This window comes from Homo sapiens, chromosome 19 (genome assembly GCF_000001405.40).
Source record: "Homo sapiens chromosome 19, GRCh38.p14 Primary Assembly".
NCBI classification, from domain to species: domain Eukaryota; kingdom Metazoa; phylum Chordata; class Mammalia; order Primates; family Hominidae; genus Homo; species Homo sapiens.
The window spans coordinates 53133142-53160778 of record NC_000019.10 but is presented as its reverse complement, the minus strand read 5'-3'; the positions used below and the strand labels follow the sequence as shown (position 1 = coordinate 53160778).

The window sequence follows — 27637 nt, the reverse complement described above, 5'->3', positions numbered from 1 at the left end:
TTCTTGATAGTAATATTCTACATTTATTCTTCCGCTGTACCCATAGGACTCATTAAAAATAACACAACTGTTGAAAATGTTTTTGAAATCCTGTTTAGTTATAATGCCTAAGATGTTTTTATACTAACTCAGTGAAAATCTGTGGAAAAGTTTCTTACATAATAAATATGATTAAGCAGTTTTACTGGAAGGGCATTTCTCCAAAGGCTATGGAAATGTTATTTTCAGTTTATGGTATTGAGCAATATATTTCATGGTTTATGTTCAATTGTAGTAAAATTACTTTTTATTTTTTAATATGATTTTCCCTTTTATTTTTTTCTTTCATATATTGTAACCCAGATGAAACGTTTAATATTTTGTTAAAGTGAAAACTATACGGTGTATATAAATAAGGGTGTTGTTTGGAGATAAAATTGTGTGACATGAAAATGTACATAAGACAATAGCAGGTATAAACTAGGTTCTCTATAAACATGAAAAAAGGGTATCCCTGTGAGTCTTTAGTTCAGTCAATGTACTGGGATGGTACGTTAGAAATACTGGAAAACTATTCTTTAGGCGAAAATAAATCCAATTGTCATGTGGTGACTATTTTCCACACTCTGTTATCCACATCTGATAGAACATTAAGAAACAGAAAACAAAAAAATAGACCCAATATAGATTACAATTTTAAAATAAAAAGTACTGTGTCAAGTTCCCTTCAGAATGCCCATAAAGTGAATTTGAAATTACATGATATTTAGAAATTATTGATTTAAGCATATTTTGATGCAAAGAAAGATTATGTCAAAGTTGTTTGTGGTTAAGTCATTTCAAGTGTGGAACGGAATAACGAATATAAGCAAAAATAATGCAGTTTATCTCTATTTTTTAAAAATTCACATGGTTTAAATCAGTAGTTGACTGGGCACAGTAGTTCACTCCTGTAATCCCAGCAATTTTGGAGGCCCAGGCAGGAGGATTGCTTGAGGTCAAGAGTTGGAGACCAGCCTGGGCCGAGACTCCCATCTTTACAAAAATATATGTTTTAAAGAACAATAAAGCAGCCCTTGGTGATCTAACTTATCGGCCTTAACCTTCCCATGAATTGAGCACAGGCTTGACTCTTCCACTGGGGAGAATGGGGATTTGAAATGTAAAGGAGGTTCTGTTGGGCTACTGCATTAAATTGCATATCCGTCCAGGTAGGATGCTGCATTTCCCATTCTACTTTGAATCATCCTCAGAGATAATTTCCAGACATTTTAGTTAAATTAAATACATTTTAATTGCAGGAATTGCTGGATCCAATCGCCGTGCCTCGTGGATCCTCCACTAAGATCCCAGTTCCCAGACCGAGATCCCCGATTCCCAGATCCCCGTTCCTGAGCTGCAGCAGACTCCCTAGCAGGACTGGGTCCAACCCGCCGGCAAACAATTTTAACATAAACCGTTTTCAACTTGGTAAGAGGAAATCATTTTGGTTTCTATCATAAGTGGTCCACGTAAGTCTATTCTTTCACCTTAAAACTGCTTCAAATTGGAACGGTGCTCCCGGGGACATAGTGAACACTCCAGCGTTTCTAAACCGGGAAAAATGAGACTGCGGGCTAGGCAGGCTGAGGGAAGCGCAGACCCCGCCCCAGCTCCGCCCCAGCGTTTCGTCCGCAGACCCCGCCTCTCCCCAGGCCCCGCCCCCAGAGTGCCCGGGCTCTTTTCCGCGCACGCGCAGTTTTCTGCAGTTCCGGAAGCGGATCGTGTTGGGTGCGGGTGACGCCGCCGAGCGTGAGTGTCCCTCAGTATGGATTAAACTTGCGAACCGCCGTGCCCCGTTTCCGCAGCCAGTTCCCGGGCTCGCTACAGACCTTTTTTTTTTTCTTTTTTTTTTTTTTTGGTGAGACGGAGATTTACTCTTGTTGTCCAGGCTGGAGTGCAATGGCGCGATTTCGGCTCACCGCATCCTCCGCCTCCCAGGTTCAAGCGATTCTCCTGCCTCAGCCTCCCGAGTAGCTGGGATTACAGGCATGTGCCACCACGCCCGGCTAATTTTGTATTTTTAGTAGAGACGGGGTTTCACCGTGTTGCCCAGGCTGATCTCGAACTCCTGACCTCAGGTAATCCGCCCGCCTCGGCCTCCCAAAGTGCTGGGGTTACAAGCGTGAGCCACTGCGCCCGGCAGCTACAGACCTTAAGATCCCCGCACCGCGCCCTCCACCCCAGCTGACTCGCGGTGTGGGTTCGGAGTCGCTTCTCTTTGGGTTGAAGTAGCTCTGAGGCTTCTCCCTGTCCCCGGCCTTTCGCGTCTTCCTCCCGCTTAAAACCCTTTCCTGACCCCTCCTCCCGCCCCGGGCTTTTTAAAGTCCTCGCCCGCGAGGTGGATTCCCGCCCTGGGTGCCTCCCAGCCTCGCCCTCGTCGGCCCCTGGAGCGCAGCTCCTCAGCCCCGGTACCGGCGAGGCCGCGTCCTCTGCCTGGTCCTGGCATCCTGCAGACCCCACCCCTCTTCTAAGGCGCCGTCGCCCCGCCACCTCCCTCCTCCTCGTGCCGGGCCCTGCTGCTCCCCAGGCCTCCCCTTCGCAGTCCCCGCTTCTCCTGAGCCCGCGCTGGGGAGGTGCCCGGGGCCTGTCCTGTGACACCCGGTGTTCTTGCCTGCCCAGCTCCAGCCCCTGGAAAATGCGCTCCTCCAAGATGCAGGCGTCTTAGTCCAAACCTTCCTGTGAATGTGTGGACCAAGGGGATTAGCAGGTAGAGAAAGGGGCAGAGACAGAGAGAGAAGTAGAAAAACTGAGAGGAAAGAGTGAGGGAAACCCGTAACCAGATGGCAAAGTAGAGGATGGGCGAGGGATTTGCAGATGGTAAGAGAAGGAGCTGAGAAGGCAGAAGGAGAAAAGCAACTGGGGAAATGTAGAGAAAAGCTCGATGTCCAGAGACATGAAGGACAGCAAGGTAGGGAGAGGGCCAGAAAGTGGGAGGCTCCTCAGACAGAGTCCGGGAGAGGAGGAGGGATTTGGAGCCAGGGCAGACAAGCAGCGTGGTGCTGGGACAGCAAGAGGGGACAGCCGGTGACGAGGAGAGCAGAAGGAGAACCACAGCAGGGGGAGGCCTGGGATCTGGGGGTGCCAGAGAGTGGGGCAAGAGGTGTAGAAGGGAAGAGGAGATTCAACAGAGGGAGCAGAGATGGGAGAAGAAAGAGGCAGAAATATATGGAGACTGGGGACAATGAAAAGACTGGGGAGAAAGAGGAATCAGAGTTGAAACAAGGCCCCAGAATGGGACAGAACAGGTGCAAGCGGAGGAAGAAGGGGAGAAATAGCAGGAGATGAGAGGGGCTCAGAACGACGCGCAAAGAACCAGGGGAAAAACACAGAAAATAAAAAATAAGCTAATGTGAGAATGAGAGCTATGTAGAGGATGAGGGAGGGAAACACACAGTATGGAAGCAAGAGAGGGACCCTGAGTCCAGGTGAGTGGTGCGTTGATTAGATGTGATGATGACATTGTGACATTGGTTTCTGGGTTTAAAATAATGCAACACATTTAAAATACGTTTACTTAAATTATGCAGTTGCAAATGAGAATGGAAGAAACTCCTTTATGTAAAATGCGTAACACGTGCATTTGACAATTATTAGTATTAGGGTATAGCTTCATTTGCAATCACTATTCAAACCAGAGGGCAGTGACTTCGCTCATTTAGTTTTGAGTCCACCCACTTCCCTTTTCCTGGAATAGGGTAGGGTGTGGGCGAGTGTATGAACTAAGAGGAAAAAATATTTTTCCTTTGATTTTCTTTCCTGTCACACTCAATACAACAGGGCACATTCTACACAGTGTCTCGCCTCCACTCACGAAAATGTGTGCGGATTTCTCCCACCAACAACCCGTTCTCTATCAGACACTAACTGAGTGTCGTATAGTTTAACTCAATTCTGAAACTCTCTACCTGGAGTTAGCATCAGATCCCACTGATTGAGGCTCAGTTCCACGAAATTGCCCCCGCATCAGGTGCCAGTTGTAAGTCTCCCGTTGGTACCTGAACTTCTGAGCGACCAGCTATACACTGGGGATTCCCTTGACATCCCCCTCCCCACCACCTCAGGTTCTATTAATTTGTGAGGGCGGCTCAAAGAACTCAGGGAAAACACTTCACTTAGTTTACACATTTGTTATGAAGGATATTACAGAAGATACAGATGAACAGTCAGAAGGAAGAGCTGTCCTAGAAAGTTAATCAAAGCCGAGGAGGGGTTAAGAGAACCACAGTATTTATCAGGTCACTCAAAAGTATAAGTGACAGTTACCACTGGCATACTGTGTCTGAAGTGAGGGGCAGTTTTAGACTGAGCTCTGAACCTGTAGCACCTCGTCATGCAGTCTTTTTTTTTTTTTCTTTTTGAAACAGTCTCGCTCTGTTGTCCAGGCTGGAGTGCAGTGGCGCAATCTTGGCTCAAGGCAGCCTCTGCCTCCCGAGTTCAAGCGATTCTCCTGCCTGCCTCAGCCTCCCAAGTAGCTGGGATTACAGGTGTGCACCACCACATCCAGCTAATTTTTGTATTTTTAGTAGAGACGAGGTTTTGCCATGTTGGCCATGCTGGTCTCTAACTCCTGGCCTCAAGTGATCCTCCTGCCTTGGCCTCCCAAAGTGCTGGGACTACAGGCATGAGCCACTGTGCCCGGCCCATGCTGTCTTGTAGATAATATCAGAGTTGAATGAAATTGTAGGACCCCCGCCTAACCCCCCCCCCCCCCCGAGCTGGGAGTCCCCTGGGAGTCCCCTGGTCATTGTGGGAAAAGCCACACACACATTTTGGTGACTAGAGGTGAAGTATTCTGTGTTTAGTGTGAGAGCAGAATGTAGAGTTGGGTTTTTTCCTATCTCAAAGACTAAAGGAAAAGACCTCCAAGTGGCCCACCCACCTGTCAGGACCTGTGATCTCTACTCAGTAGTGACTGGGAATGGCCTGTTCCTGCTTCTGGCTGCTGCTGGCCCTGCAATTGTGTACCATGTACCAGCCTCACTCACAGTCTCAGGACAATATGCGTGCCATCAATTTTAACTTTTTTTTTCCTTCACAATCTGTAAAGCTTTCAAAATTTTAACTTCAAGGGAATTCATCCCTGTACCTAGGGAGTGGTGTTCTCCATTAAGACACGTACACAGGGCTGGGCACAGCGGCTTACACCTGTAATCACAACACTTTCAGAGGCCAAGGTGGGAGGATTGCTTGAGTCCAGGAGTTCGAGACCAGCCTGGGCAACATAGCAAGACTCCGTCTCTACGAAAAATAGAAAAAAATAAGCTGGATGTGGTGGCTTGCACCTGCGCTCCCAGCTACTTGCAAGGCTGAGGTGAGAGAATCGCTTGAACACGAGAGCTTGAGGCTGCAGTAAGCCATGTTCATGCTGTCACACTCTAGCCTGGGCAACAGAGTGAGACCCTGTCTCAAAAACAAAAAACAAACACACACACACACACACACACACACACACACACACACACAGAATAAAGTCTTTTTTTCTTCTACGCTCCATCTTTAAAACAAAAAATACTCTAAATTGGCCAGGCACGGTGGCTGACGGCTGTAATCCCAGCACTTTGAGAGGCCAAGGCAGGTGGATCCCTTGAGGTCAGGAGTTCGAGACCAGCCTGGCCAACATGGTGAAACACTGTCTCTACTAAAAATACAAAAATTAGCCAGGCATAGTGGCACGCGCCTGTGATCCCAGCTACTCTGGAGGTTGAGGCAGGAGAATCGCTTGAACCTGGGAGGCGGAGGTTACGGTGAGCCGAGATCGCAACATTGCACTCCAGCCTGGGTGACAAGAGTGAGACTTCATCTCAAAAAAAAAAACAAAACAAAACTCTAAACTACCTTTCAGTCTGTAGTAAGTACTCTTCTATGCTCCGTTTAAGAGCACAATACACTACAATTTTTTTTTTTTTTACTTTATGTTCAATTCTTGCCTTCAGTCCTTGCTTGAACTCTTGCTTGAATCAAGCTCTCATACCCAACATTCCACTGATCCTTTCTTTTTCATTTACCAGTGATGGATCCATTTGAAATTCAATGTTTAATTTCCTGTCATCTTTCCATTCCTATCAGTAGCATGTGGCACAGTTGCTCACTTTCTCTTCTATTTTCTTGGCTTTTAGGACATCCCGTTAAGCTTTACACATCTATTTGTTGTAATTTTCTTGTTGCCTCCCTAATCACATTATGCTTTCCTCTTCTTGTGTCTCCAGAACTTTCTGTTCTCTGAACGTGGGCTTAGTCCTCCAGCCACTTTTTTCTCTGTCCGCACTCATTGCCTTTCCTTATCAACTCAGCTCATGGCTTTCAACCCCACCTGCACAGCTTCATGTCACCTGCAGGCCTCTCCTGTGAACTCTAGATCCAGCATCTAGGCCTCCCAAAGTGCTGAGGTTACAAGACGTGAGTGACCGTGCCTGGCTAAATTTATTACTTTTTTTTTTTAAGAGAAATGGGGTCTCACTATGTTGTTTAGGCTGGTCTTGAACTCCTGGCCTCAACTGATCTTTCTGCCTCAGCCTCCCAAAGTGCTAGGATTATAGTGTGAGCCACCACGTTCAGCCTCTACCTTTTGTTTCTGAGGCCTGAGATTGGCCTGCAATCCACAGAGAGGTGAGGGAGGCTGTTCTCTGCATGGGGTTTGGTCAGGGCTTGGTCTGTGCCCTGAATGGGGGAGCTCAGTCCAGCCCAGCTCCCAATTGCTGCAGCGTGTGTGTGGGCTTCTCCAGGAGGAGAGTGGGTTCTGAAGAAAGGGGTCAGAAACTCACTTATTGATCTTCCCATAGGAGCTTCTTGTCCCTGCATTGCCCTGGTGCAGTGGGCAGCTGAGACCATCTTTCCACAGGGTGAGGTCTTCCCTGTGTGTGTGTGTGATTGTGGCATAGGAAGGGGATGTGTTGATTCTGAGCAATAAACAGCACATTTTGGATATTCAATATTGACTTCTAAAGGCACTTTCCTGTTACCTAAGGAAGAACCCTTGAAGAAGAGGAAGAGGAAAGAAAGACAAGTCAGGCATGGCTCTCACCCAGGTAAGGTAATATTATCAGTGGATTGTTCTGTCTCTTATTTCTTCTTGAAATGTCATTCTTTGAAGTTGGGAATCTTCTCTGAGTCTGAAGCGTCCTGCCTGACAGGTTTGCTCGCACTTACGCGTGCCTTCCCTCAGTCCCTCTCATCTCACTTAGATTCCATCTCTCGTGACCCAGTGACATGAGCTTGGGAAGAGGCTGCACTGGGCATGGTCCTGGGAAGGGCTCACACCCAGACATGGATGGAGACGGGGTGAGGGTCCTGTGGTGTCAGTGCTGTTGGGCAGCAGGGATTGTTCAGGGGCCACATCTGGATGCACTGTCAGCTCTCTGTGGAGCAGGATTAGAGCAGCTGCACGTGGAAGTCACGTGTTAATGTGCACAAATACTTGCTAAATTATGTAAAATAAGGCTAATAAGGGGAAATTTTTCTGGCTCATTTACATTACATTTGAAGCTCACCAAGTGAGTCACTGTGTTTCTAACCCCAAACTCTTATTAATGACTGGGAATGGAATGGGAATTTTAGACTGACAGACATCAGTGACAGAGGGTTCTTTCATCCCATCATCTATTTTAATACATGAAATCAACCTAAATGGAAAATGCAGGAGAATCATTGAACTATTTTCAGAAAACCCATACAATGGAGACTGGTGTTTCTGCAGGGACCCTTGTGCAACTGGTGCTAGGTGAGAGTGGTTATTATTTTGTTCGGTTATAGGAGCAGAACTTCTTTCCCATTAGAGAGGGTAGAACCACGTTCTTGTTTTGCCAATTATTATTTTTATTTTATTTTTTTTGAGACGGAGTCTTGCTCTGTCGCCCAGGCTGGAGTGCAGTGGCATGATCTCAGCCCAATGCAAGCTCCGCCTCCTGCTTTCACGCCATTCTCCTGCCTCAGCCTCCCAAGTAACTGGGACTACAGGCGCCCGCCACCATGCCCGGCTAATTTTTTGTATTTTTAATAGAGACGGGGTTTCACTGTGTTAGCCAGGATGGTCTCGAACTCCTGACCTCGTGATCCACCTGCCTCGGCCTCCCAAAGTGCTGGGATTACAGGCGTGAGCCACTGCGCCCGGCCTGTTTTACCAATTATTAAATATTCTATTTATTGTATTTATTTATTTTGAGACAGAGTCTCACTCTGTTGCCCAGGCTGGAGTGGTGCAATCTCGGCTCACTGCAACCTCTACCTCCCGGATTCAAGCAATTCTTTCGCCTTAGCCTCCAAAGTAGCTGGGACTACAGTTGCATGCCACCATGCCCAGCTAGTTTTTATATTTTTAGTAGAGACAAGGTTTCACCATGTTGGCCAGGCTGGTCCCAAACTTTTGACCTGAAGTGATCAGCCCACCTTGGCCTCCCAAAACGCTGGGATTACAGGCGTGAGCCACCATGCCCGGCCCTTCAGTGAATGTTTTGTTGTGACATTTTAGCCTGCAAATTTTGAAAATTTACATGTTTTCATGTTAGGAAAGATGTATAGCTCATTCTACATCTTTATTGGAGCCTTCTCTGAATGAGGACAGAGTGGATGTTTTACCTTTTCACTGTTGTTATTACTAAACTGTGTATATGTGACGTGAGTGCGTGTTTTTTTATTAAGCACACATCATGATTTTTTTTTTTTTTTTTTTGAGACAGAGTCTCACTCTGTCACCCAGGCTGGAGTGCAGTGGTGCAATCTCGGCTCACTGCAATCTCTGCCTCCCGGGTTCAAGCGATTCTCCTGCCTCACCCTCCTGAGTAGCTGGAATTACAGATGTCCACCACCACACCCGGCTAATTTCTGTATTTTTAGTAGAGATGGTGTTTCACCATGTTGGTCAGGCTGGTCTCGAACTCCTGACCTCGTGATCCGCCCTCCTCGGCCTCCCGAAGTGCTGGGATTACAGGTGTGAGCCACTGCACCCAGCCCACACATCATGATTTTAAATAAGTTTTGTGTTTTTTAGCAATTCAAATTGTATCTTAAATATTTTCTGTGTCCTTAAATTTGTTCTCAGCTATCACATTAATGATTTAATAGTAAGAATAGTTACATATTATGGGCATAAATAGATGTGTGTATATATGTAATTACCTTTTATGAAGTTCCATGTTGTTATTCATGAACTTGTTTCAACTTTGCTCATTTAGATCCTTTTCATGTTCTTTTACTTAACTATTTGATTTTTTTTTTTTTTTTTTTTTTTAGACAGTCTTGCTCTGTCATCCAGGCTGGAGTGCAGTGGCACAGTCTCGGTTCACTGCAAGCTCCGCCTCCTGGGTTCATGCCATTCTCCTGCCTCAGCCTCCTGAGTAGCTGAGACTACAGGTGCCCGCCACCATGCCTGGCTAATTTTTTTGTATTTTTTTAGTAGAGACGGAGTTTCACCATGTTAGCCAGGATGGTCTTGATCTCCTGACCTCGTGATCTGCCTGCCTCGACCTTCCAAAGTGCTGGGATTATAGGCATGAGCCACCACGCCTGGCCAACTATTTGATTCTTTAGGTTTAATTCTTATTCCCAGACACCTGGATTCAGATGCTTGCTCTGACATTTTAGCTCTTTGTCTTGACGCAAGTTTCTTAGAGTGTCTGTCATATACATTTATCTGCTAGTAAGATGGGAACAGATCTTTCTCTCATGGGCTATCATATTCATATACAAGTTAGTACATGCAGGACATTTATTTAGAATAATGCCAGACTGAGCACAGTGGCTTGCGCCTGTAATCCCAGCACTTTAGGAGGCCAAGGCGGGTGGATCATCTGAGGTCAGGAGTTTGAGACTAGCCTGGTCAACATGGTGAAACCCCATCTCTACTAAAAATACAAAAATTAGCCGGGTGTGGTGGTGGGTGCTTGTAATTCCAGCTACTTGGGAGGCTGAGGCCGGAGAATCGCTTCAACCCAGGAGGCAGAGGTTGCAGTGAACTGAGATCATGCCACTGCACTCCAGCCTGGGTGATAGAGCGACTCTGTCTCAAAAAAATAAGTAAGTAAGTAAATAAATAAATAGAATAATGCCTTGCACTTGGGAAGTGCTCAGAAACATCTGTCATTGTTATTGCGATGATCACAGTTTTTAGATTCTGACCTTTCTTTAAAGTCACTGTACACATTTTCATCTCGTAAGACATCACTCATGCTCTAGATCATCTAAATACTGAATATCACTTGGTGTGTTAGACATAATATATAGCACTTCAATAAAGATAACCCGGTGTTGGTTTTTTATTTGTATATTTGTGTATTTTTTGTATTGTCTACAAAACTGAGAAATCAACACTGATTTAAAGACTATCATAACCTCTTATAGAAGAGTATAAGAAGACAGAATTAAGGAAACATTCTGCCCAAAAATACCTGTGTGTGTGAGGATGTGGTGAAAACAGACCCAGTTTCTCCTACTGTACTCTCACAACGGAAAACACATCTGTGATCCCAGATGTCCTGGGTTTTCCCACACACACCAAGGGAGCAATTCTGCACTGGACACCAGCTGAGTGACCTCCTATTCAGTTCAATTCTGACACTGTCTACCTGGACATAGCATCAGATCCCACAGGTTGAGGGCTCAATCCAACAAGAGTGTGCCCACTTCAATGCCAGTTGCAAACACAGATGGTCTCTGCTTCTCACTGACTGGCTTATACATCATGAATTCCCATGACCCCCTCCTCAGGTTTGATTAATTTGCTAGAATGGCTCAGAGAAATCAGGGAAACACTTTATTTATATTGACCCATTTATTATATAGGATATTACAGAGTATACAGATGAACAGCCAGATGTAAGCAGTCTATTGGGTAAGGTATGGGAGAAGGAGCATGGCGTGGTGGTGCATGCCTGTAATCCCAACTACTTGGGAGGCTGAGTGCTGTCTTTGGTGGGGGTCGGTGGGGGCGTCCTCAGAGCCTCCGTGTGTTTCCCTATCCTGAAGCTTGTTCAGGCCCTGTCCTTTCGGGTTATTATGGGGGCTTCATTAAGTGGGCACGATTGCTTACATCTTTGGCTACTGGTGATCAGCCGAGCCTTCAGCCCCCATCCCCTCAGGGTAAGTTGGGGGATGGGGCTCGAAGTCCCAACTCTGTAATCCAGCCTTGGTCTTTCTGGTGACCACCCCGCCATTCTGAAACTATCTTGGGGCCTCCAGCCACCAGTCATCTCATTAGCTTACAAAGGCACTTATCACTCCAGAGATTCCAAGTGAGATGTATGTCAGGAAAGGGGGATGAAGACCATATGTATATTTTATTATATCACAACTTGGATATCGGCCCACTTACTCCAGTTTAATCTATTCTGTCTTCTCATTTTATGTGAAGATTGGAGCTTTTCCTTATATCCCCCTGGTGGATGTGTTTTTCATTTTAGGGACAGGTGACATTCAGGGATGTGGCTATAGAATTCTCTCAGGAGGAGTGGACATGCCTGGACCCCGCTCAGAGGACTTTGTACAGGGACGTGATGTTGGAGAATTATAGGAACCTGGCCTCCCTGGGTGAGGATGACTTTCTTCCAGAAGTCAGGATCTGCCCCTGTGTATCTTTTCATTTTCCATGTGGCTCTCCTGGGAGCTCATGCATTGCTTGGCTGAGACTGAAGCTGTGTTGACTGAAAAATGAAAATCTCCATAATGTGGAAACTGGATTTTAATTTTCCTCTTCCTGATGTCACTGGAGGGTTTCAGGACTTTTAAAATATCCAATTCCCTGTTTTCTATCCCCATGCTTTGATTCAGTGGTTTTGGGATGAGAGCTATATATTTGCATATTATAGTGTTTCCTAACAATTTATAAAGAAGCATTTAGTGGATGAATTTTTGAAGTGTTTTTTTAGATACAGCTGTAAAGTCCTCCCTCCTCATGTAAACATAGGACTGGGACTCTGGAAAATCTACAGCCCATTGTTTTCCTTTCTTTTCATAAGCAGGAATCTCTTGTTTTGACCTCAGTATTATCTCTATGTTGGAGCAAGGGAAGGAGCCTTTCACTTTGGAGAGCCAAGTACAAATAGCAGGAAACCCAGATGGATGGGAATGGATCAAAGCTGTGATCACAGGTAAGAGTTCAGATGGGTAGAGAAAATGCCGTTTATTAAATAGTGTTTGGGAAACTCTATGCAAATCTGAGAGTTCTGTGGGAAAACAAGTTTGAATTCTGTGACCTCAGAACAGAAATCTTTATTTGCCCCCTTTTGTCTATCCTTTAGACTTGTACTAGTTTATCCTTTCACCTTCCAGTGGTGCTGCAGCTCAGACAAAGGCAAAGTCTTTATCATGATGGACAACACTGTTTTCTAGCTTCTGAGAACTCTGGTTCCTTGACTCCGTGTGGCACAGGGAGGGCTGTTACAAAAGGGTTATTTCATCTCCTTTGGTGTTTCCTTCTGTAGTTGATTCTATCTGATGCCCAGTTCTCAGTCTTACAGATCCAAATTCTATATAGTTAGCTAAATTTTAAGAGTGTTTTAGTGGAGTTGTTAGGTTTTTCTAAATATAAAATCATGTCATCTGCAAAGAAGTATATTTTGACTTCTTCCTTTTCAATCTGTATGCTTTTTATTTCTTTCTCTTGCCTAATTGCTTTGGCTAGAACATCAATGCTATGTTGAATAGAAGTAGTGAAAGTGGACATCCTTGTCTTTCAGATCTTAGCAGAAAGGCTTTCAGTTTTTTCTTATTTAGTACATTCCTGCTGGATTTGTCATATATGGCTTTTATCATGCTTAGGTATGTTTTTTCTGTACCCAAGTTGTTGAGACTTTTTATTAGGAAGAGATAATGATTTTATTGAGTCATTTCCCAGCATCTATTGAAATGATAATATGCTTCTTGTCTTTGATTCTGTTGATGTGATGAATCACATTAATTGATTTGTGTGTATTAAACTATCCTTGCATTCCTGGAATAGATCCCACTTGATCATGGTGAATGTCTTTTTAATGTGTTGTTGAATTCTATTTTGTCAAGGATTTTTGCATGTATATTCATCAGGGGTAGTGGCCTATAGTTTTCTTTTTGTTGTGGTGTCCTTGTCTGCTTTTTGGTATCAGGGTAATGCTGGTCTGATAAAATGAGTTTGGAAATATGTGCTGCCTTCAATTTTTGAAATGGTTTGAGTAGAATTAGTATTCTTTATTTTTTCTTTTCTTTCTTTATTATTATTATTATTATTATTTGAGATAGTCTCTCTCTCTCTATCTCACCCAGACTGGAGTTCAGTGGCACAATCATAGCTTACTGCAAACTCAGACTCTTGGGCTCAACTGACCCTCCCTCCACATCCTCCCCAGTAGCTGGGGTTACAGGCACACACTACCACGCCCAACTAATTGTGTTTTTTTGTTTGTTTGTTTGTTTGTTTTTGAGATGCAGTCTCGTTCTCTTGTCCAGGCTGGAATGCAGTGGCGTAATCTTGGCTCACTGCAACCTCTGCCTCCCAGGTTCAAATGATTCTCCTGCCTCTGCCTCCCAAGTAGCTGGGATTACAGGCGTGTGCCACCACACTTGGCTGATTTTTGTATTTTTAGTAGAGTTGGGGTTTCACCATGTTGGCCAGGCTGGTCTTGAACTCCTTACCTCAGGTGATCCACCTGCCTCAACCACCCAAAGTGCTGGGATTACAGGCGTGAGCCACCGTGCCTGGCCAAATCCTTTTTTATTTTTTAGTAGAGCCGAGGTCTTGCTGTGTTTCCCAGGCTGCTCTCAAACTTCTGGCATCAAGCAGTCCTCCCATCTTAGCCTCCCAAACTGTTGGGATTACAGGCGTGAGCTAACATGCCTAGCCAGTATTAGTTCTTCTTCAAGTGTTTGGTATAATTCAGCAGTGAATCCATTCAATCCTGGGCTTTTCTTCTACATGAAATTTTTTTTTTTTCAGCTTCAATTTTGTTATTAGTGTCTTCAGGTTTTCTATTTCTTCATGTTTCAATCTTGATAGGTTGTATGTGTCCAGAAATGTATCCCTTTCTTCTAGGTTTTTAAATTTGTATGTAGTTGTTCATAATTGTCCCTAATGGTCCTTTGTGTATCTATGGTATCAGTTCTAATGTTTTCTGTTTTGTCTCTGATTTTATTAATTTGGGTGTACCTCCCCCCACCTTTTATTTCAGTTTAGCTAAAAGTTTGTTGATGTTGCTTATCTTTTAGAAAAACCTACTTTTCAAGCTAGGCATGGTGCCTCATGCCTGTAATCCCAGGAACTTGGGAGACTGAGAAAGGAGAATTGCTTGAGGCGGGGAGTTCAAACCAGCCTGGGCAACATAGAAAGAGACCCCATCTCTAAAAATAAAACGAAAATTAGCCAAGCATGGTAGTGCGTTTCTGTAGTCCCAGCTACTTGGGAGGCTGAGGGAGGAGGATCAGTTAAACCCAGGAGTTCAAGGCTGCAGTGAGTTATGACTGGGCCACTGCACTCCAGCCTGTGTGAGAGAGATAGACCCCATCTCTAAAAAAAAATTTTTTTAGGCCGGGCACGGTGGCTCACACCTGTAATCCCAGCACTTTGGGAGACTAAGGTGGGTGGACCACCTGAGGTTGGGAATTCAAGACCGGCCTGACCAACATGGAGAAACCCCATCTCTACTAAAAATACAAAATTAGCCGGGCGTGGGGGCACATGCCTGTAATCCCAGCTACTCGGGAGGCTGAGGCAGGGGAATCTCTCGAACTTGGGAGGCAGAGGTTATGGTGAGCTGGTATCATGCCACTGCATTCCAGCCCAGGCAACAAGAGCAAAACTCCATCTCAAAAAAAAAAAAATTTTTTTTTAATCCTACTTTTCATTTTATTGATCTTAGATTTTTTTTTAGTCTTTATTTTGGTTAGTTCTACTGTGATCTTTATTATTCCTTTCCCTCTACTACTTTTGGGTTTGGTTTGTTCTTGCTTTTCTAGTTCCTTGAGTTGTATCATTAGGTGTTTTATTTGTTGACTTACTGTTTTTTTGATATAGGTGTTTATTGCTACAAACTTTCCTCTTTTTGCTGCTTTTTCTGTATCCTATAGATTGTGCTGTTTTGCATTTTAATTTGTTTCAGGAAATTTTTAGCCAGGCATGGTGGCTCATGCCTGGAATCCCAGCACCTTAGGAGGCTGAGGCAGGCGGATTGCTTGAGCTCAGGAGTTTGAGACCTGCCTGAGCAACATGTCCAAACTCTGTCTTGGTAAAATATACAAAAATTAGCTGGGCATGGTGGTGTGTGCCTGTGGTCTCTGCTACTTGGGGGGCTGAGGTGGGTGGATCACTTGAGCCCAGGAAGTGGAGGTTGCAGTGGGCTGAGATCACACCATTGCACTCCAGTGTAGGTGACAGAGCAAGACCCTATCTCAAAAAAAAAAAAAAAGAAATGTTTTATTTCCTTCTTAATTTCTTCATTAACTCAGTGGCTGTTCAGGAATATGTTGTCTAATTTCCATGTGTTTTTGTATCTTCTTTTTTTTTTTTTTTTCTAGACAGACTCTTGCTCTGTCACCCAGGCTGGAGTGCATGGCACAATCTTGGCTCACTGCATCCTCCACCTCCTGGGATCAAGCAATTCTCCTGCCTCAGCCTCCCGAGTAGCTAGGATTATAGGCGTGTGCCACCACGCCTGGCTAATTTTTGTGTTTTTAGTAGAAACAGGGTTTCACCATGTTGGCCAGGCTGGTCTTGAACTCCTGACGCCAGGTGATCTGCCCAACTTTGGCCTCCCTAAGTGCTGGGATTACAGGTGTGAGCCATCACGCCCAGCCATGTTTGTGTATCTTCTGAGGCTCTTCTTGTTGGTTTCTAGTGTTATTTTATTGTGGTCAGAAAAGATACTAGATACAATTTTGACTTTTTTGAATTTATTGAGACTTGTTTGGTGTCTTAACATATAATCTATCCTGAAGCATAATCCATGTGCTGATGAGAAGAATATGTATTTTGCAACAGCTGGATAAAATGGTCTGTAAACGTCTGTTAGGGCATGGAACATACCTGTAATTTTAGCTACTTGGGAGGCTGAGGAGAGAGGAATGCTTAAGGCCAGAAGTTCAAGGCTGCAGTGCACTGTGAACTCACCTGTGACTAGGCAATGGACCACAGCCTGGGCAACATAGGGAGATCCCATCTGTTTAAAATAGAAAAAAAATTTAAAAAGTCTTTTTTTAGGTCCATTTAGTCTGCAGTATATTTTAACTCTAATTTTTTTTTTATTGGTTTTCTGCCTGGATGACCTATTCATTACCAAAAATTGTGTTTTGAAGTCCCCTAATATTATTGTATTGCTACCTGTCTCTCCCTTTAGATTTATTAACATTAGCTTTACATATTTGGGTGTGTACTTATTTATTATGTCCTTTTGCTAAGTTGATCCTTTTCTCATTATATACTGACTTTGTCTCTTTTTACACTTATTGACTTAAAGTCTATTTTATCTAAGTATACCTACTACTGCTCTTTTTTGATTTCTAGTTCCATGAAATATCTTTTTCCATCCCCTCACTTTTTGTCTACATGTATCCTTATAGGTGAAGTGAGTTTGTTGTAGGCAACATATAGTTAGCTGTATGTTTTATAATCCATTCAGCAGGCCTCTCTCTTGTAATTGGAAAATTTAGTCCATTTCTATTTAATGTTATTATTGATAGGTAAGGACTTATACTACCAGAGAAATCACTTAAACACAAAGGAAGACAGTAAGAAAGAAAGCAAGAGAGAAGTTAGAAAACAATTAGAAAAGAAGTAACAAAACGGCAGTATGTTTTAATTCATTGCTTTTTATTATTAATATGTCTATTACAGGCTTTTACTTTGTGGTGACCATAAAATAAGGCTTACGTCTCACACCAGTTAGAATGGCGATCATTAAAAAGTCAGGAAACAACAGGTGCTGGAGAGGATGTGGAGAAATAGGAACACTTTTACACTGTTGGTGGGACTGTAAACTAGTTCAACCATTGTGGAAGTCAGTGTGGCGATTCCTCAGGGATCTAGAACTAGAAATACCACTTGACCCAGCAATCCCATTACTGGGTATATACCCAAAGGATTATAAATCATGCTGCTATAAAGACACATGCACACGTATGTTTATTGTGGCACTATTCACAATGGCAAAGACTTGGAACCAACCCAAATGTCCAACAATGATAGACTGGATTAAGAAAACGTGGCACATATACACCATGGAATACTATGCAGCCATAAAAAATGATGAGTTCATGTCCTTTTTAGGGACATGGATGAAGCTGGAAACCATCATTCTCAGCAAACTATCGCAAGGACAAAAAACCAAACACCGCATGTTCTCACTCACAGGTGGGAATTGAACAATGAGAACACATGGACACAGGAAGGGGAACATCACACTCTGGGGACTGTTGTGGGGTGGGGGGAGGGGGGAGGGATAGCATTAGGAGATATACCTAATGTTAAATGACGAGTTAATGGGTGCAGCACACCAACATGGCACATATATACATATGTAACTAACCTGCACATTGTGCACATGTACCCTAAAACTTAAAGTATAATAAAAAATAAATAAATAAATATAAAAACATCCTATAGCTTTTAACAATTTATCTCAAATCAATATCAACTAACTTTGATTGCAAAAAAAGAAACTAAAACCTCTGTGCATGTTCGTTCCCTTCTCACCCTGCATTTTGAATTTTTTATGTCGCAATTTATGTTGTGTACTGCCTATCACTTAACAAACTGTTGTGCTTATTTTTAATAGTTTTATCTTTTAGCCCTCTTAGTAAATATACAAATGGTTTGCACACCATGATTATGATATTAATATTAGTGTAACAGTTACATCGTGTCATTTTCTTTGGATTTGAAGAACTCCCTTTATCATTTCTTGTAAAACAGGTCTGATCATGGTAAATTCCCTTAGCTTTGTTTGTCTGGGGAAGACTTTCTCTCCTTTATGACTGAACGATTGCTTTGCTGGCTACAGTATTGTAGGTTGGGAACTAGGCTTCCATACTATTAATTTGAATTACATGGAATCAACTTTATTAAACAATCCTCTTTCCTTTGTGTTCCTAAAAATTGAATATTATTGTTCTGAAGTTTCATAAATCTGTTTAATATAAGAATTGCTTTTGGTTTAATATTGTTTTTCGGTGTAATATTGTTTTTCGGTGTAAAATACTTGTTTACGTACTACAATTAATTGGAAACCTATGGATCTTTATATCTTGTAGCTCTCTCTTCCGAATTTGTAATGAAAGATTTACTACACAAAGGGAAGAGTAATACAGGAGAAGTATTCCAAACAGTGATGTTGGAAAGACAGGAAAGCCAAGACATTGAAGGATGTTCCTTCAGGGAAGTCCAGAAAAATACACATGGCCTTGAGTATCAATGCAGAGATGCTGAAGGAAATTACAAAGGAGTGCTTTTGACCCAAGAAGGCAATCTCACTCATGGAAGAGATGAACATGATAAAAGAGATGCAAGAAACAAGCTTATTAAAAATCAGCTTGGATTAAGCCTTCAGTCACATCTGCCTGAACTGCAGCTTTTTCAATATGAAGGGAAAATTTATGAATGTAATCAGGTTGAGAAGTCTTTCAACAATAATTCCTCAGTTTCACCACCTCAACAAATGCCTTATAATGTCAAAACCCACATTTCTAAGAAATATCTCAAAGATTTTATCTCTTCTTTATTACTCACACAGGGGCAAAAAGCAAATAATTGGGGAAGCCCTTACAAATCTAATGGATGTGGCATGGTCTTTCCTCAAAATTCACACCTTGCAAGTCATCAGAGAAGTCATACTAAAGAGAAACCTTACAAATGTTATGAGTGTGGCAAAGCCTTTAGAACACGTTCAAACCTAACTACCCATCAGGTGATCCATACTGGCGAAAAACGTTACAAATGTAATGAGTGTGGTAAGGTCTTTAGTCGAAATTCACAACTCTCACAACATCAGAAAATTCACACTGGAGAGAAACCTTATAAATGTAACGAATGTGGCAAGGTCTTCACTCAGAATTCACACCTTGTAAGACATCGAGGAATTCATACTGGAGAGAAACCTTACAAGTGTAATGAGTGTGGGAAAGCCTTTAGAGCTCGTTCAAGCTTAGCTATCCATCAGGCAACCCACAGTGGAGAAAAACCTTACAAATGTAATGAATGTGGCAAGGTCTTCACTCAAAATTCACACCTTACAAATCACTGGAGAATTCACACTGGAGAGAAACCTTACAAGTGTAATGAGTGCGGCAAAGCCTTTGGTGTTCGTTCAAGCCTAGCTATTCATCTGGTAATTCACACCGGAGAAAAGCCTTACAAATGTCATGAATGCGGCAAGGTCTTTAGGCGTAATTCACACCTTGCAAGGCATCAGCTAATTCATACTGGAGAGAAACCTTATAAGTGTAATGAGTGTGGCAAAGCCTTTAGAGCACATTCAAACCTAACTACCCATCAGGTCATCCATACTGGAGAAAAGCCTTACAAATGTAATGAATGTGGCAAGGTCTTCACTCAAAATTCACACCTTGCAAATCATCAAAGAATTCATACTGGAGTGAAGCCTTATATGTGTAATGAGTGCGGCAAAGCCTTCAGTGTGTATTCAAGCCTAACTACCCATCAGGTCATCCATACTGGAGAAAAACCTTACAAATGTAATGAGTGTGGCAAGGTCTTCACTCAGAATTCACACCTTGCAAGACATCGGGGAATTCATACTGGAGAGAAACCTTATAAATGTAATGAATGTGGCAAGGTCTTTAGGCATAATTCATACCTTTCAAGGCATCAGCGAATTCATACTGGAGAGAAACCTTACAAGTATAATGAGTATGGCAAAGCCTTTAGTGAACATTCAAACCTAACTACCCATCAGGTCATCCATACTGGTGAAAAACCTTACAAATGTAATGAGTGTGGCAAGGTCTTCACTCAGAATTCACACCTTGCAAGACATCGGAGAGTTCATACTGGAGGTAAACCTTACCAGTGTAATGAATGTGGCAAAGCCTTTAGTCAAACATCAAAGCTTGCAAGGCATCAGAGAGTTCATACTGGAGAGAAACCATATGAGTGTAATCAGTGTGGGAAAGCCTTTAGTGTCCGTTCAAGCCTAACTACCCATCAGGCAATCCATACTGGAAAAAAACCTTACAAATGCAATGAGTGTGGGAAGGTCTTCACTCAGAATTCACACCTTGCAAGACATCGGGGAATTCATACTGGAGAGAAACCTTACAAGTGTAATGAGTGTGGCAAAGCCTTTAGTCAAACTTCAAAACTTGCAAGGCATCAGAGAATTCATACCGGAGAGAAACCATATGAGTGTGGGAAACCCTTTAGTATCTGTTCAAGCCTAACTACCCATCAGACAATCCATACTGGTGGGAAACCTTACAAATGTAACGTGTGGAAAGTTCTAAAGTCAGAGTTCAAACCTTGCAAGCCATCACAGAATTCATAGTGGAGAGAAACCTTACAAATGAAGGTGGTAACTTTTGCAGTTAGAATTCATTCCTTTGACAACGTCAGAGAATTTATGCCTGAGAGATTCCTTGAAAATGCAATGACTGGCTGGGTGCAGTGGCTCATGCCTGTAATCCCAACACTTTGGGAGTCCGAGGCAGGTGGATCACCTGAGGTCAGGAGTTCAAGACCAGCCTGACCAACATGGCGAAACCCCATTTCTACTAAAAGTACACAATTAGCTAGGCCTGGTGGCGTGCGCCTGTAATCCCAGCTATATAGGAGGCTGAGGCAGGAGAATCACTTGAACCCAGGAGGCGGAGGTTGCAGTGAGCCAAGATCGTGCCAATGCACTCCATCCTGGGCAAAAAGAGCAAAACTCCATCTTAAAGGAAAAAAAAAAAATGCAATGACTGTGGCAAACTCCTCATGAGTTCAAGTATTAATAGACATCCAAGAGTCCATAATAATGAGAAATCACATAAATGTACTGTGTGTGACAGAGGCTTTATTCAGGCCTCACAGCTTTGCAGGCATTAAAATCTACGTATTTGATGGAACCACACAAATGTAATGTGTAAGAGCATCCTGAAGCTCTTACTCTAAGACTGTAACTGTAGGTGAGGATTCATACAAAGAGTGACTCAGTCTCTAGTTCTTTGATTCACTTTTAAAATGATAAACTGCACAATAATTACACGTTCCAATATGGTAAAACTTAAGACATTATATATTTCAAAGGTCAAAGGACATTTGGAAATGGCTACTTACCTTCAGGTTATAAAATCTTTTATTCCATTGTTTGAGGTTTCTCAAAAAGGCTACTGTTTGTGACTTTCAACCTGAACTATGGATCTGTGGCTATTTTGCATCCTTAAGCACCTTTCGTGGTGCCTATCTGGGAAAGAACCACAGTATGGAAAGGCTTACTTCATTACATGAGGATCATTTTTATCCATGTTTATTGAAGAAGGAGGACTCTGCCTTGTAAAATTAAATATTCTCTCAATTGAGAGACCATGGTTTTGGGGCAGAAAATAATGTAAAACTATGATATCAATCATCATACTGATTGTGTTCAGGGTGCTTTTCTGAGAGAAAGACACCATGGGTTTTAGGGAAGTAAGGCTCTACCTGCATTGAGCAGGCCAAGACCTCAGGACACTGGAATTTTTATGAGAGGAGAGTAATAAGTTATTAGTGACTGATTATGTGATGGGAATAGTGCAGGGGAAATGGTTGCCACTTTCTCTACTGAATGGCAATAGCTGTTTTATAGCAGAGATTGATGAAAAATAGGCTTATTTTTGAAATTGAAGAGGTAACAGTTATTAGAGTGGAGAGCTTGGTCAGAAAAACCAGAATACCATGGTTTTTTTTGTTTTGTTTTGTTTTTAGTAGAATTCACACTAATTGCTGGAATTACATTTTGCTACAGTTTTATTAAGAATGTGTCACAGACATAATGTTTTGCTAAAAAAAATTCAACGTTTTCTTATAACTATAAACAAATCACATTCTTTGTACCAACATCATTTTATCCTACCTCAGTAGGATACTTCATAGCAGATAATAACAATACACTCAGTCTTTTAGGTTGGAGGATGTAGAACAATTTTTTTTTTCTTTGTGGAATCAACATACAATTTTGGGAAAATGTAATCATACTCTGCACTTGAATTATTCTCTCTACACTCTGCCTTAGAATATTTATATGGATATAATGAAAATCCCATAGAAAGTGCAGTTTTCATACTCTTACACTCTGAAAGCTGCCACAGTGTTGGTGAATATATACCATATTATATTTTTACATGCTTGTGTGCTAAATAACTATGGCATGCATCTTTATTTACATGAAGTGAAAATACAAATATAGAAAGTGTATGGGCTGGGTGTGGTGGTTCATGCCTGTAATCCTAGCACTTTGAGAGCCCAAGGCAGGGGGGTCACTTGAGTCCAGGAGTTTGAACCAGCCAGGACAACATGGCAAAACCCTGTCTCTACAAAAAAAATAGAAATATTACCCAGGCAGGGTGGCTCATGCCTGTAGTCCCAGCTCCTCAGGGAGACTGAGGCAGGTGGATCACTTGAGCCTGGAGGCAGAGGTTGCAGTGAGCCAAGATCGCGCCATTGCACTCCAGCCTGGGTGACAGAGCGAGACCCTGTCTCAAAAAAAACAATTGTATGAAAAATATTGGCTGGGTGTGGTGGCTCACACCTGTAATCCCAGCACTTAGGGAGGCCAAGGCGGGTGGATCATGGGGTCAGAAAATCGAGACCACCCTGGCCAACACAGTGAAACCCCATCTCTACTAAAAAATACCAAATATATATATATTGGTTGGATGTGGTGGCATGCGCCTGTAATCCCAGCTACTCGGGAGGCTGAGGCAGGAGAATCACTTGAACCCAGGAGGTGGAGGTTGCAGTGAGCCGAGATTGCCACTGCACTCCAGCCTGGGCGAGAAAGTGAGACTCCGTCTCAAAAAAAAAAATTATGAAATTATAAATAGTGCAGAATAACAAAAATAACACTAAGAATGCTATGCTCACATAATTTGACAAGACTAATATTCATGAGTTTCCTCTTAAAAATGAACATATATAATGGAAATTTTGTTTTTGTAGGTAAACTAGAAGTTTCATAAATTTAGCCTTATCATGTTTTTGGTAATGTTAATTTGTCACCTCTCCACAGGAAGTGTATTGAACTCCATTTACAGTTTGGTTTAGATATGGAAAATGAGGATGCTGAACAATGAAGTTTTAGGGAAATGTGTATTGCATAATGAGGCTTTCTGTGAGAAGCAGGATTGACTTCCCAAACTGGTCCAAAATGGCTTGAGAGAGCAGGGATAAATAACTTGCTTGGGGTGTTATGGTAATAACCTTTAATAAAAGGGTGGGTTGGGGTGAGGATCCCACACGTGATTTGAACTTCCATCTAGTGCCAAAGGAGGGAACACGGACATTATCAGCTTGGCCAGATGGGCAGAATAAGAAGAGGGAGTGCAGAGGTATAAATGGTGGTATAAGACAAAAATCACAAAATGGAAACTGACTGTAGTACAACACTGAATATTTACTCTTGCAACTTCTGATTTCTGGCCAGGCATGGCCAGAAATTACAGGCTCATGCCTGTAATCCCAGCACTTTGGGAGCCCGAGGCAGGTGGATCACCTTAGGTCAGGAGCTCAAGACGAGCCTGGCCAACATGGTGAAACCCCATCTCTACTAAAAATACAAAAATTAGCCAGGTGTGGTGGCGCACTCCTGTAGTCCTAGCTACCAGGGAGGCTGAGGCAGGAGAATCACTTGAACCCGGGAGACGGAGGTTGCAGTGAGCTGAGATCTCACCACTGCACTCCAGCCTGGGCAATAGAGTGAGACTCTCAAAAAAACAAAAGAAATTTCTAACTTCTTTGTTAGGGAAGACCTCCGCTTTCTTCATAATAGTAGATAATACTCTTCCTTTCTGCTGAACCCATAGGGCCCATTACACAACGTCATTCTTGAAAATATTTGTGAAATGCTGTTTAAATTGCCTAAAATATTTTTACAGTAGTTCAATGCAAATGAATTTGTGGAAAAGTTTATTACATAATATGATCAAGCAATTTTAGCCAAAGGGCATTTTTCCAAAGGCTGTGTTATATTCATGTCTTGTTCAGTTTATGGTATTGTGTAACATATTCTCCATAGCTTCTTTTCTTTTTTTTTTTCTTTTTCTTTTTAGACGTGGGGTCTCGCTATGTTGGCCAGGTTGGTCTTGAACTCTTGGCCTCAAGCATTCCTCCTGCCTCAGCTTCCCAAAGTGCTAGGATTACAGCCATGAGCCAATAGTAGTAAAATGACTTTTTGTTTTTGTATATGATTTTTACTTTAAGGATTTTTTCCTTCCATACATTTTAATCCAAATTATATGTTTACTGCATTTCTTCTCTGTGTTACTCCAGTGAACACTTAGAAAATACATAAATGAGGGTGTTGTTTAGAAATAAAATTTTGTGACATGAAAATGTATGTAAAACAATGGCAGGTACAGACTAGGTTCTCTGTAAATAGGAAAATGGAGTGTCCTTGTAAATCTTTAGTTCAATTAAAGTACAGGGATACTAGATGGTGAAATGAAGTCTCTTAATATGGAAGTTATCAAAGATCAGATGCTTGAAAATCAAGCGTGTGGAGGTTAACCAGCATCTGGAGAAGTAAATGAAAATACAGTTAATAAGAGAGTCCCCAAGATATTAATTATCATTTATGCAAAGGAGATAATTTCTCTCATTGAATCCCTGGAGGCAATTCAACTTCCTACTGTGGCTGGTATTTCTTTTCTGAGCCAGAGGATCTTACAGCAAAACATGATATTTGTGCAACTTTTGCAATGACAGCTGCCATTTAATATACTCCCCTTAGATTTGTTTCCATTTTAAAAAACTGATATATATTCTTTAATAAGTGATTTATCTTTGCATATATATTTTATATCAATCACATTTAGAGTAAGAATCACAGTTATTAATGCTTTATGTGTAACAACTGAATCATCAGCTCCTGAAATAAGTATTAATGATATTCTCATTTCAGAGGTGAGGAAACTTAGGACAGATAAGCAAAATAATCAAATTAGGCTGGGCACAGTGGCTCATGCCTGTAATCCCAGCACTTTGGGAGGCCGAGGCGGGGGGATCACCTGAGGTCAGGAATTCGAGACCAGCCTGATCAACATGGTGAAACCCCGTCTCTACTAAAAATACAAAAATTAGCTGGGTGTGATGGCGGGCGCCTGTAATCCCAGCTATTCGGGAGGCTGAGGCAGGAGAATTGCTTGAGCCTGGGAGGCGGATGTTGCAGTTAGCCGAGTTCCCACCATTGCACTCCAGTCTCAGTGACAGAGCGGGACTCCATCTCTCTCTCTCTCTCTCTCTCTCTTTCTCTCTCTCTCTCTCTCTCTCTCTCTCTATATATATATATATATATATATATATATATATATATATATTTAGAAAATGGGTAGAACTATGAAGAGACATTTCACTGAAGCAGTTATACTGAGATAAATAGGCACATAAAAAGATTTCCAACATCACCATCCATCAAATCTCAGATCTCAGCATATTCTGCTTTAAAAGACTCATCTTGTCACATTTCAGTAAGAGGCAGAATCGAGATTTGAATCCATGTTGTCTGGTTGCAAAGACAAAGCTTTTAATGATGATGCTACAGTAACAATGCTAGTTATTTTTGTCCTTTACTCACCATCTATACCTATTTTGTTAGTATCTCTTGTAATTTTTAAATGGTTTATCTTCATATATCATTGTGATTGTGGTAACTTTGTATTAAATCTATATTTTTATAGATCAATTAAGTCTATATTTTATAGATCACTATTGCGTATGCATCTTACCTAAATGAATGACAGAGACACTCATTACCACATAATCCTGTAAGAACGATTATCCAATCTTTCGAAGGAGGCATCCAGTACCTGAGGTGTTAGTTCTAGTGGTGGCCAGGCGCTGTAGCTCACCCCTGTAATCCCAGCACTTTGGGAGGCCAAGGGGGGTGGATCTCCTGAGGTCAGGAATTGGAGACCAGCCTGGCCAACATGGTGAAAACCCATCTCTACTAAAAATACAAAAAATAGCTGGGTGTGGTGGCGCGTGCGTGTGGTTGAAGCTACTCAAGAGGCTGAGGCAGGAGAATCGCTTGAGCCTGGGAGGTAGAGGTTACAGTAAGCTGAGATCACACCACCGCACTCCAGCCTGGGTGACAGAACAAGACTCTGTCTCAAAAAAAAAAAAAAATCACTAATAATGACAAAGTGCATATTTCTTGAGCTGAGAATATTTTTGTATCTGTGTTTCCATTGTTCGTTTCCAAAAACAATTACAGGTTGCTAATACACATCAACTGGACTGTTCAGTAGAAGCTCCTGTGTTTCTCATGATCTCTGACAGCATCCAGGGGTTCACATGGAGAAAGCAGAATATGCTGAGGTCTGAGATTTGATGGATGGTGATGTTGGAAATCTTTTTATGTGCCCATTTATCTCAGTATATCTGCTTCAGTGAAATGTCTCTTCATAGTTCTATCCATTTTCTAATTTGATTATTTTGCTTTTTTTTTAAGTCGTTCTAGGATTCTTTATACATTCCACATACCAGTTTTATGTCAGATATATGGTAGGCAAATATTTTCTATTATTCAGTACTGTATTAGTCCATTTTCACACTGCCTAAACCCTCCTGTGACAACCTGAGACTGGGTAATTTATAAACAAAAGAGGTTTAATTGACTCACAGTTCCGCATGGCTAGGGAGCCCTCAGGAAACTTACAATCATAGAGGAAGGCAAAGGCGAAGCAAGGCACGTCTTGCTTGCAGCAGGAGAGAGAGCGATCAAAGGAGGAACTATCACAGATTTTTAAACCATGAGATCTCCTGAGAGCTCACTATCATGAGAACGGCTTGGGGAAAACCACCCCCATGATCCAGTCACCTCCCACCAGGTCCCTCCCTCAACACCTGAGGTTTATACTTGAAAATGAGATTTGATGGGGACACTGAGCCAAACCATATCAAATACCTTTTCTTTCATCGTCTGAAGGTCTTTCACAGACCAAAAGTTTTTAATTTGGTAAATACCAGTTGATTTTTTTTTTCTTTAATGAATCATGCTTTTGCTGCTATGGCTAAGAATTTTTGAACAAGCTCTTGATTCTTACGATTTTATTGTGAGTAATTTTTTCTTTCAGTCTCCTACAGGATACCATTTTATGGTTTGATATTTTACATTTAGGCTATGGTCAATGTTGAACTAATGTCTGTACGGTTGTGAAGTTTGAGTAGAGATGACTTCTTTCCTGCTGTGGATATTAAGTTAGCCCCTCACCAGTTTTTAAAAATTCTTCATTCAATTCCCTTGGTAACTTTGTCAAAAATCAGTTGGAAGTACCTGTAGAGGCTATTTTTGTACTCTCTTACTGTATTGCATCAATCCATATGTCTTTTATTGCCCCAAAACCACACAGTTTTTATTACCTTTCCTATATTGGTAGTCTTGAAATCCAGTGGAGTGATTCCAGACACTTCATTTTTGTTTTTTGGTAACTTTTATGGATCCAATCACTGCTAGTTTTGGATTCCCCACCGAAA

At 42.2% G+C, this 27637-nt stretch overlaps 1 protein-coding gene across 3 annotated transcripts, besides 4 other annotated features; it reads left to right on the top strand.

The window, feature by feature from the left end:
- Window positions 1529–1823: an enhancer, noted in NCBI's record as "tiled region #171; HepG2 Activating DNase unmatched - State 4:PromP, and K562 Activating DNase unmatched - State 1:Tss". NCBI's record gives its function as "activates a minimal TATA promoter and a strong SV40 promoter by Sharpr-MPRA in HepG2 and K562 cells {active_cell/tissue: HepG2 | K562}" and the evidence as "EXISTENCE:reporter gene assay evidence [ECO:0000049][PMID:27701403]".
- Window positions 1544–1793: a silencer, noted in NCBI's record as "silent region_11004". NCBI's record gives its function as "represses an Ori minimal core promoter by ATAC-STARR-seq in GM12878 lymphoblastoid cells {active_cell/tissue: GM12878}" and the evidence as "EXISTENCE:reporter gene assay evidence [ECO:0000049][PMID:35858748]".
- On the top strand, window positions 1726–25844 carry ZNF347 (zinc finger protein 347). Of its 3 annotated transcripts, none has more exons than NM_032584.3 (5): window positions 1726–1770; window positions 6986–7046; window positions 11412–11538; window positions 11970–12098; window positions 18223–25844. In NM_032584.3, the coding sequence occupies exons 2-5, from the start codon at window positions 7032–7034 to the stop codon at window positions 20469–20471; spliced, it is 2520 nt and encodes an 839-aa protein (NP_115973.2). In that variant the 5' UTR covers window positions 1726–1770; window positions 6986–7031; the 3' UTR covers window positions 20472–25844. The 3 variants fall into 3 exon arrangements, with proteins under 3 accessions (NP_115973.2, NP_001166146.1, NP_001166145.1); NM_001172675.2 differs by having other exon boundaries at window positions 11967–12098; NM_001172674.2 differs by having other exon boundaries at window positions 1726–2099; window positions 11967–12098.
- Window positions 12736–12936: a silencer, noted in NCBI's record as "peak3549 fragment used in MPRA reporter construct". NCBI's record gives its function as "represses an SCP1 promoter by STARR-seq MPRAs in K562 erythroleukemia cells {active_cell/tissue: K562}" and the evidence as "EXISTENCE:reporter gene assay evidence [ECO:0000049][PMID:32103011]".
- Window positions 12956–13156: a silencer, noted in NCBI's record as "peak3548 fragment used in MPRA reporter construct". NCBI's record gives its function as "represses an SCP1 promoter by STARR-seq MPRAs in K562 erythroleukemia cells {active_cell/tissue: K562}" and the evidence as "EXISTENCE:reporter gene assay evidence [ECO:0000049][PMID:32103011]".
- Window positions 25845–27637: the final 1793 nt, after the last annotated feature.

Excerpts from the sequence above, each read along its gene's own strand:
- ZNF347 (NM_001172675.2), top strand. Across the intron at positions 11,539-11,966 it reads TAGGAACCTGGCCTCCCTGG|CAGGAATCTCTTGTTTTGAC; the intron begins GTGAGGATGACT and ends TCTTTTCATAAG. Across the intron at positions 12,099-18,222 it reads GATCAAAGCTGTGATCACAG|CTCTCTCTTCCGAATTTGTA; the intron begins GTAAGAGTTCAG and ends TATATCTTGTAG.